At 44.4% G+C, this 10,347-nt stretch overlaps 1 annotated feature.

Annotated features, from left to right (window-relative positions):
* Positions 8,706–9,324: an enhancer, noted in NCBI's record as "OCT4-NANOG hESC enhancer chr10:5427032-5427650 (GRCh37/hg19 assembly coordinates)". NCBI's record gives its function as "activates a minimal SCP1, AML or CMV promoter by ChIP-STARR-seq in naive H9 embryonic stem cells {active_cell/tissue: H9 hESC(naive)}" and the evidence as "EXISTENCE:reporter gene assay evidence [ECO:0000049][PMID:30033119]".

The following is a 10,347-nucleotide window of genomic DNA, read 5'->3' on the forward strand; positions in this document are numbered from 1 at the left end:
GACACAAAGGGCATGAAACACCAGCCACCCCTGCCTCACAGGGCTATCCCAAGGCTCAGATTAACTATGCACAAAAAAGCACCGCTCAGAGATTGGGGTTGTGACTTTTCTGTCCCCAGCAGTTGGGTCTGGTATTTGGAATGCTTTCAGAGCCTTACAGATGATGCTGTGATGAGCATAAGTGTCATCTGTAAGGCTCTGATGGTTAATGAACTAGGGAGAGTTGGCCAAAACTGGAACCCACCCACCGCAGCTGGGAAAGCACAGCTTTCCTGCTGGACAGCTACCGGCCTGCAAGTCCAGCATCCCGCTGTGTTTGAGCTCCTGCAGAATCAGAGCTTCATTTGGGAGCAAGCAGTGCTTCTAAGCATCTGTTCACGATGACATCAACAACAGGTGGAAGGTAGAGACAACCACATCCAAAGATCTCCACCACCTTTATCTGCCCCCCAGGTTTCAGTCTACCACACATTTTGGGGGGAAAGGAGAACTAATATTGATCCTATTATCATAAAAGGAAGAAATTCTCTGACGCCCCTCCCTCCTCCTCTGTCAGGGAAGGATAGAGAAACGGAATAGCTTCACCAGCAGTAAGAATCAAACGATCCAATTTCACAGCAAGCTGCTGTGGCTAAAGAGAATTTTGTAGAACATGGCAAACCCCGGTAATTAGTGAGGTTCCACTACATAGGGTTTTTTGGTTTTGGTTTTGGTTTTGAGACAGGGTCTTGCTTTGTGGCCCAGGCTGGAGGAGAGTGGCTAGGTCACAGCTCACTGCAGCCTTAAACTTCCCAGGCCCAAGTGATCCTCTCACCTCAGCCTCCCAAGTAGCTGAGACCACAGGCATGCACCACCACACCTGGCTAATTTATTTTTATTTTCATTTTTGTAGAGTAGAGGTTCCCTGTATTGCCCAGGCTGGTTTCAAACTCCTGGGCTCAAGCGATCCTCCCACCTCAGCCCCCCAAAGTGCCTGGACTACAGGAGTGAGCCACCGCACCCGGCTGAGTACACGGAACTTAATACTGTGTTTGGAACTTTCCTGAGTATAATAATTTGTCATTTTTCTGAAACACAATTTTGAATTACTCTGCAAGGCAGATGTGCATGAATAAGTTATAATAAGTTATTTATTTAGTGAGTGGGCCCAGTTATTACCCAGCGTCTCTGTCTCTAAGCGACTCCGTTGCTGTCTGCTAATGACCACACAGGTCCTACATCATTTGAGGTCTGAAGAGGACTGCTTAGGTTTTTCAGCTAGACGTGACTGCCTTTTGCAGAGGAAACTACTGACGAATGTGGCAACGCACAAAGCTCTCAGATATGCTCTGTACACGTAGGCTCTATCTGATTCTGTTTGAGGAATATATCCGAGAACCACACCTGATCCTCTGCGCTGCAACTGTAATATATGGACACACTAGAAACTGTCTAGAAAAGAACGGCAGAGGGAAAAAGCTAATAGAACTGAATTCGATTAACATATTGTGTGTAATAAATATTTTTTCAAATTAAAAACTAAAAACAGATTAATTTATCTTGCAAAAGTTAGAGGACTTCCCCAAAGAATTATTTATGAGGGACTGTGACTATGTTTGCCCTGAAGACTTCCCTCTAAAGCCAACAGAAATTTTAAAATAATGGTAGGCTGGGCACAGTGGCTCACACCTGAAATCCCAGCACTTTGGGAGACCGAGGCAGGTGGATCACTTGAGGCCAGGAGTTCGAGACCAGCCTGGCCAACAAAACCCTGTCTCTACTAAAAATACAAAAAATTAGCCAGGCATGGTGGCACATGCCTGTAATCCCAGCTACTCAGGAGGCTGAGGCACAAGAATCGCTTGAACCTGGGAGATGTAGGTTGCAGTAAGCAGAGACTGCACCACTGCACTCCAGCATGGGCAACAGAGAAAGACTCTGCCTTAAAAAAAAAAATTAGTTAATTAATTAACTAAAGTAAAGTAACAGTAAAATAATGGTGGTAATAATGTTTTGCTTTGTGAGTAGAAATACTTGGATAAATGATATCAAAGGGGATGGTGATTTTTCCTTGTCAAGAATCAGTCAGATATTGCGTGCGAACAAAACACTAAAGCAGCCAGGCATGGTGGCTCACACCCGTAATCCCAGCACTTTGGGAGGCTGAGGCAGGAGGATCGCTTGAGTCCAGGAGTTAGAGTCCAGCCTGGGCAACATAGTAGGACCCCATCTCCATATATATTTTAAAAGTAGTTTTAAAAAATAAAAATAAAAACACGGAAGCACCCAGTAATCACAGACAGGAAAGGAGTTTGCACCATTGAAGAGAGAAAAGTATGTAATAAAAATAAAGAATGAAAATAAAGACATATTAGGCTCATTAAAAAAAATAGGCTGGGCACAGTGACTCACATCTGTAATCCGAGCACTTTGGGAGGCTGAGGTGGGTGGATCACTTGAGGCCAGGAGTTCGAGACCAGCCTGGCCAACATGGTGAAACCCTGTCTCTACTGAAAATACAAAAATTAGCCAGGCGTGGGGGCAGGTGCCTGTAATCTCAGCTATTCAGGAGGCTGAGGCAGGAGAATTGCTTGATCCCAGGAGGCGGAGGTTGCAGTGGGCCGAGATTGCGCCACTGCACTCCAGCCTGGGTGACAGAGCAAAACTCCATCTCAGAAAAACAAATAAATAAATAAATAATAAAAAGAAAAGAAACATAATACAAAATTTGGAAGTGCTTTTTTGGGGAACAAAAATGAGTTTCTGTAAGTGAAAATTCTAAACACAATCCCAGTCAGATTACTTACTTTGGTTCAAACTCCCTTAAAAATTAGTTTAAGGTCTCTGTTACGAATAAAATGAGGATCAATAGGCACGTAAATCTCCAAAGAGGCAAGACACATGAATGGATGATATGGGCTGTATTAGTCTGTTCTCACACTGCTAATAAAGACATACCTGAGACTGGGTAATTTATAAAAGAAAGGTGGTTAATTGACACAGTTCCGCATGGCTGAGGACGCCTCACAATCATGGCAGGAGGTGAATGTGGAGCAAAGGCACATCTTACATGGTGGCAGGCAAGAGAGCTTGCGTAGGGAAACTCACATTTATAAAACCATCAGATCTCCTGAGACTTATTCACTACCACAAGAGCAGCATGGCGGAATCTGCCCCCATGATTCAATTACCTCCCCCTGGTCCCACCCTTGACACATGGGGATTATTACAATTCAAGGTGAGATTTGGGTGGGGACACAGAGCCAAACCATATCATGGTCTCTAGATGTTCTATCTAACAAGGAATCCTGAAAACAAATATCAACAACAAACAAAGGTTCCTGCTTCATAACAGTACAATAATTTTGGAAGCTGTAACCAAATAGGGAAAGCTGAGAAATACCCAGCATTTGATCAGACTTTTTAAATAATTTCAAGAAATATGAAATACACAAGTTCAACAGTAGTTAATATTAAACTAAAAAGACATTTACATATGGCAAGAGCCTAAGGAATATAAAATCTAATCAAATGATGCAGCTAGCTAACTTCATAAGAATTACAGATGTAATCTGACTTGAAAATTAGATAATAACATGACTCAAATCTGAGTGGGCTAGGGACCACTTCATTCTTTAGTGAATGAAGCTCTTGTGATAGATGATTGCTGGGACTCCATTAGAGTTGCCAAAAGCAGTCAGATCCTGGTCAATATCATTAAGAAGCCTCAGCAAGCTAAGAAAGCAAGAGACAAAACATATATCTTTGTAAGGTAACCCCAAAGCTACAGGATGACATATTGTTTTCTTCAAGGGAAAGCATATTTAATATTCTCTCTCCTTCCTGCCTCAGCTATCATTCCCCAGTGTGAACCTCAAGTCATCAGATTGAATCTCCCCACCTGCCATTGTTTTTATCACCTACCAACACCTGGGTCAGTCCACCTCATTTCTTTTTTATTTTATTCTATTTTATTTTGAGACAGGGTCTTGCTGTGTCATGCAGGCTGGAATGCAGCAGCGTGATCACAGCTCAGTGCAGCCTAAACCTTCCCAGGCTCAAGCGATTCTCCCACCTCAGCCTCCCAAGTAGCTGGGACTTCGAGCGTGTACCACCACACCTGGCTAATTTTTCTATTTTTTGTAGAGACGAGGTCTTGCCATGTTGCCCAGGCTGGTCTTGAGCTCCTGGGCTCAAGTGATCCACCCACCTCGGTCTCCCACAGCACCTCATGTCTCCACCCACCTCGGTCTCCCACAGCACCTCATGTCTCCACCCACCTCGGTCTCCCACAGCACCTCATGTCTCCACCCACCTCGGTCTCCCACAGCACCTCATGTCTCTGTCACTTTAGCTCTTGGCTCGTCAATCTCGCTCACGGGGCTCCTGTCTTAATCTGTGGTAATCTCAGTACACGTGTAGATGACCTCTCCCACACCTGGCCTCTCAGCTCCTTAAACATTTCCACTCCCATGACCCTGACCTGCCTCCTGCCTCACCACTCGCTCCCATGACTTTGTCATTACAAGTCACAAACTTTCTGACCACCATGTCCTGTCTTTCCAGCTCACCCTTCCTAGGACAGCAACTCCAACCATCTCCCAACCTCCCCGAAGCCAATAATCCACGGATCCTGCTACCTTTTCACCATCCACCATCCCTCCCGCCACGTCCCGACCTCTCTTCCCTCCTTGCCCGTCTAAATGCCAGAGTGGATTTTATCATCCCTCACTGTGCACACCTGAGATTCCCTCGTTCCACATTTGCCTTGTTTTATTCATTCAAACACGCCATTATTCTGCCCTTGAACCCTGAAGCTTAACACAGCTTAAAACCCACACACACACACCACACACATGCACACAACACACAACACACCACACACCACACACACACACCCCCCACACCACACACACACCCCCCACGCACACACTACACCACACACCCCACACACACCACACACACCACACACCACACCACACACCCCACACACACCACACACCCCACACACACCCCACACACACCCCACACACACCACACACACACACCACACACCACACACCCCACACACACACCACACACACCACACACACACCCCACGCATACACACCACACACCCCACACACCCCACACACACCACACACACCCACCACACACACACCCCACACACACACCACACACCAACCACACACCACACACACCACACCACACACACACACCACACACACCACACACCACACACACCACACACACATACCACACATCCACATATATCACAGACATACACATACCACACCATACACACAACACACACACACACACACACACACACACACACACAGACTGATCTCTCCTTAGAATCCTCACTGGACTCCTCAGATGGGCTCTTCAGATGGCCCAGCGTTTACACCACGCTTCCTTCACCACTCCTGCCCCTACTTCTTAGACTTTCACTCATTTTCTTCTCTCCGCAGACCTCTAGTATATCCTTCCCTTTCCAACCTCAGCTGCTGACTTTACTCCCTTTTCATTAAGAAAATGGGGTGTTTCAGAAGCACGATTTCACAGAAACCTCACCACCGTGTCTTCGCCCGGAGAGCACCTGTACTCACACACTCTGCCTTCCTTCCTATTGAGTTAGTTGAATTGTCCGTGCATCTGTGTAGGGACAACCTCTGTGTCACACTCTAAGTTCCCATCCCCTCTCACCCACTTAAGACATGGATCCAACAACCTTTCTGTCTTCCTCCCACATCTTTGATGCCACCTCCCCCTCTGCATCATTCACACTAGCAAGCAAACCCATTTTTCTTTCTCCAATGCTAGAAACAATACTTTTTAAAAAATAAAAATGGAGACAGGGTCCCACTATGTTGCTCAGGCTGGTCTCAAACTCCTGGGCTCAAGCAATCTTCACGCATCCACCTCCCAAAGTGCTGGGATGACAGGTGTGAGCCACCGCACCCAGCCAACAACTCTTGACTTATCGCCTCTTCCAGAGAGTAGCACGTTACTCTGCCTTCTTTTACAGCAACGCTCTGACAATTTCTCTATACTCTCTTCTTTCTCTCTCCATTCAACCCCCATTAATCCGGCTTGCATCCCTATCATTCCACTGAACCCTCTCTTCAAGGTCAGCCTAAATCCAGCACCCAAGCCCCAGCCCTCACTCACATGACTTAGGAGTATCCTGTAACACATGGGACCACGACCATGACCTCCTCCTGGATAGACTTTTTTCCAACTGGGCTTCCAGGACACTCCACTGCTTTCCTTCTCCCTCCGTGGCTCCCCCTTCTAAATCTTCATTGCTGGTTCTGTTACCAGAAAGGGATCCTGATTCAGACCCCAATAGAGAGTTCTTGGATCTCATGCAGAAAAGAACCCAGGGCAAGTCCAAGGGCCAAAGCAAAGGAATTGAAAGAGCAACTACTCCATAGACAGAGTAGGATGGTCCCGAAAGTAAGAGGAGGAACCTGTCCCCCCTAGGTACAATGCTAGTTTATATATAGGACAAAAGAAGATTGGGGGGATGTCCCCTGCTACAAGGGTTTGTGATAAAGGATTAATTTTCTTAATTACTATTTTTTGCAAGAATCAATATTATTATATTTAAAGCAAACTTAGGCATGCTTCTGTTCTCAAGATATCAGGACATCAGGACACTCCCAAGTCTGAGTCTGTTTAGTAAATGTTATCAATCTGTTCCCTTAACCATAAACATCTTGAGGCCAGGAATACCCAACTTTCTGGGAGTCAGCCCAGCAAGTCCCAGCCTCATTTTCCTAGCGCTCACTCAGGATGGAGTCGGTCTGGTTTGAACTCCTCTAATAGTTCCTCTTACTAGTAATGTTCTCTCCTCAAATATCTGCTGCCTCCCTTGTCACTCCCTTGAAGTCCTTGTCAAAGCTGCTTTCTTTGGAGGCTACAATGCCCACTTTTTTGAAGCTGCAATCCATTCCCTCTTAGTGTCCTCTACTTTTCCCCAAGAGCACCTGCCATCTTTTAACCTGTGGTATAATTTACTACCTTATAGTGTTTATTGTCTTTCACTACAACATAAACTCCATGAGGACTGGGGTTTCTTCTGTTTTGTTCAATGCTGTGTCCCCCATGTCTGGAACTGTGACGAGCACGTGATGGGTGCTCAATAAATAATTGTAAGTGAATCCATTAAATAAGGATGTACTGAAGCTGCTGTGATAAGGAAGCTGTGCCAACTTGGCATTTCAAATACAGCGTTTATAATATTTAAGAGTGTTTGGCCTAATACAATCGTAGTCAGCCATGTAATTCCAATTTTAGAAGTGTAAATGTTGTCAATAAATTTACACTTGTGATCTTAAGTACAAATCTTAATCACTTGTAGACAGCTTTAGAACAGTGAAGAGTACTTAATTACCATAGGTATAGTTTAATTTATTAGATTTTTAAAGAATTATTTACAGTACTTGGGAAAGTTTGTCAAAACCCTCAAAAGAAAATAGAATATATTAAATTTATAGGCAACCTAAAATATTTAAGAGCATTTATCTAAGACTGTAAAAGAGACCCAAAATTCATGTGTATTCCCTTTAAAAGTGATTATACAAATTTTCTAGGCTTATGAATAATAAGATTCACAAGCTGAATGCAAAACCTTAAGAAAGACTGTGGTTATTATCTTTAGTAGATTATTAACTTTTAAAAACAAAAGAAAATCTATAAATAGTATTTTTCTCGATGCGTCAGTACTCATGTACACACACACACACACACACACACACACACACACACACACACACACACACACACACAACCTCTAGAGCATGAAAAACTCATCTCAACAGTGGATCAGTTATTTAAGGACTTCACTAGTGCCCTCCAGTGGCTGAACAGAGAAACAACACATGTACGTTGAAGAATAAATTTTATTTTATTTTACTTTATTTCTTTGAGACAGTCTTGTTTTGTTGCTCAGGCTGTAGCACAGTGGTGCAATCACGGCTCACTGCAGCCTCAACATCCTGGGCTCGTGTGGTCCTCCCACCTCATCCTCCCAAATAGTTGGGACCAAAGTTGCATGCCACGCCTGGCTAATTTTTTTTTTTTTTTTAAGCAGAGACAGGGTCTCACTATGTTGCCCAGGCTGGTCTCGAATTCCTGGGATCAAGTGATCCTCTCTCCTTGGCCTCCCAAAATGCTGGGATTATAGGCATGAGCCACTGCACCTGGCCAATAAATGTTAAATACTTAGTAAAAGCCTAATAAAAATGTAAGGCACTACGTAGGACATACACATTAAACATTTTTTTCATCAGTGAGTACTTACTACAAATTTTCAATGCAGTGAGACATTTCATGGTGTGTCTCCACTGTCCATAAACCCTGGGGTGGAGCAGACAGGTGCTCTGGGAGCTCAGAGAGGACACAAGGAGGAAGATTCTGGAAGTTTCATGGAGCAGGTAACAATAGAACTGGGCTCTAAAGTAGGAATTACATCTGCAGGAAATTAAAATATTTTACCCCAAAATATTTAACTTTTTTTTTTTTTTTTGAAACGGAGTCTTGCTCTGTCGCCTAGGCTGGAGTGCAGTGGCATGACCTTGGCTCACTGCAACCTCCGTCTCCTGGGTTCAAGCAATTATCCTGCCTCAGCCTCCCAAGTCGCTGGGATTACAGATGCCCACTACCATGCCCGGCTAATTTTTTTGTATTTTTAGTAGAGACGGAGGGGTCTCACCATCTTGGCCAGGCTGGTCTTGAACTCCTGACCTCATGATCCACCCGCCTCGGCCTCCCAAAGTGCTGGGATTACAGGTGTGAAACACTGCATCCAGCCATTTAACATTTTTTTTTAAAATGACTGCCACTAGGCCAGCAAATGGAAGTGGCCTTGCAAAGTTGGGGCTTTTGGGGGGAAATTTTGCATCTGTAGAGGATCTCTATGAATGCAGCCATAACCCCACCCCACTTCCTTTATCTTACCCAGATCCAGGAGAGGTTGGGATTCTGACCCTTGAAAGTCTAAAAGAAGCATTTACTATCTATTCTCTCTGAGGGAGACTTCATCTACATAACAAGGCCACCTGTGCTAGCCAAGCCTCTTCCTCTCTCCCTCTCATCAACAGTCTTGCCACTCAACTTCATTGACCAACATAACCTGTTTCTGGCCCTGCTCCGAGTCTGCCCTCTTTACTGTGGCCTCAAGATAGGACATAAGTTCCTGTACCTCTTTGGAAAGTTGTGTCAGAGGTGTTCAAACCAGAGCGACTCCATCTTGAGTGAGGGCTAGAAAATGAGGCTGGGACTTGCTGGGCTGCATTCCCAGAAAGTTAGATATTCGTAGTCTCTAGATGTTTATGGTCAAGGAAACAGATAATTAATGTTTACTAAATAGAGGCAGACTTAGGAGTGTCCTGATATCCCGATATCTTGAGAACAGAAGCATTCCTAATTTTCCTTTAATGATAATAATATCAATTTTTGCAAAATATAGTAATTAGAAAATTAATCCTTTATCACAAATCCTTGTAGCAGAGCATATCTCCCATGATGATTTAATATTATATATAAACAAGTATTATACCTAGGGTAGACAGGTTCCTCCTCTTACTTTCGGGACCATCCTCCTCTGTCTATGGAGTAGCCGCTCTTTCACCACTTTACTTTCTTAATAAACTTGCTTTTGCTTTGCCCTGTGGACTTACCCTGAATTGTTTTTTATGCGAGATCCAAGAACCTTCTCTTGAGGTCTGGATCAGGACCCCTTTCCGGTAACAGTTGAGTCTTCATCCTGAAGGCTCCCGTATATACACATTAAACAAATTTGTTTGCATTTTCTCCTGTTAATCAATCTGCCTCATGCCAGTGATTTTCCAGCAAACCTTGAGGGGACCAATGGCCGTGGCCCCCACACATCACATGATCATGGAGGAAAAAGGATATGCTGGGAAACGGGGGCAAGTCTGGTTGGAATGGAACGCACACAATGACAGTGAAGAATGGAAGAGAAGTTTGAGTCAGAGCTTGCTGGGACAGTCTCTGCGTGCCACACACAGGAGTTTGGGCCTTAGGTTCAGGCGATGGGGAATCATTAAAGCTTTGAGCGAAGGAGCAGGGTAATCCAAGCTGTGCTTCAGAAGGTTCAGTCGGAGAGTAGTGGGTCGGTTGGGTCAGGAAGACAAAACGAAAAGCAGAAGAGCATTTAGACCCCAGTGCACTGGTGAAGGGGAGAATAGTTGAAGAGAAAGAAGGGAATGTGTTCTGGACACATTACCAAAGTAGAATTGATGGAATTCATTCTTCTATTAAAATAAAAACTTTAAACAAATCATATTTAACAGAGTTCAATTGAGCTAAGAACAATTCAAGAATCAGGCAGCCCTG

The sequence above is a fragment of the Homo sapiens genome, chromosome 10 (genome assembly GCF_000001405.40).
Source record: "Homo sapiens chromosome 10, GRCh38.p14 Primary Assembly".
In the NCBI taxonomy this organism is placed as follows: Eukaryota; Metazoa; Chordata; class Mammalia; order Primates; family Hominidae; genus Homo; species Homo sapiens.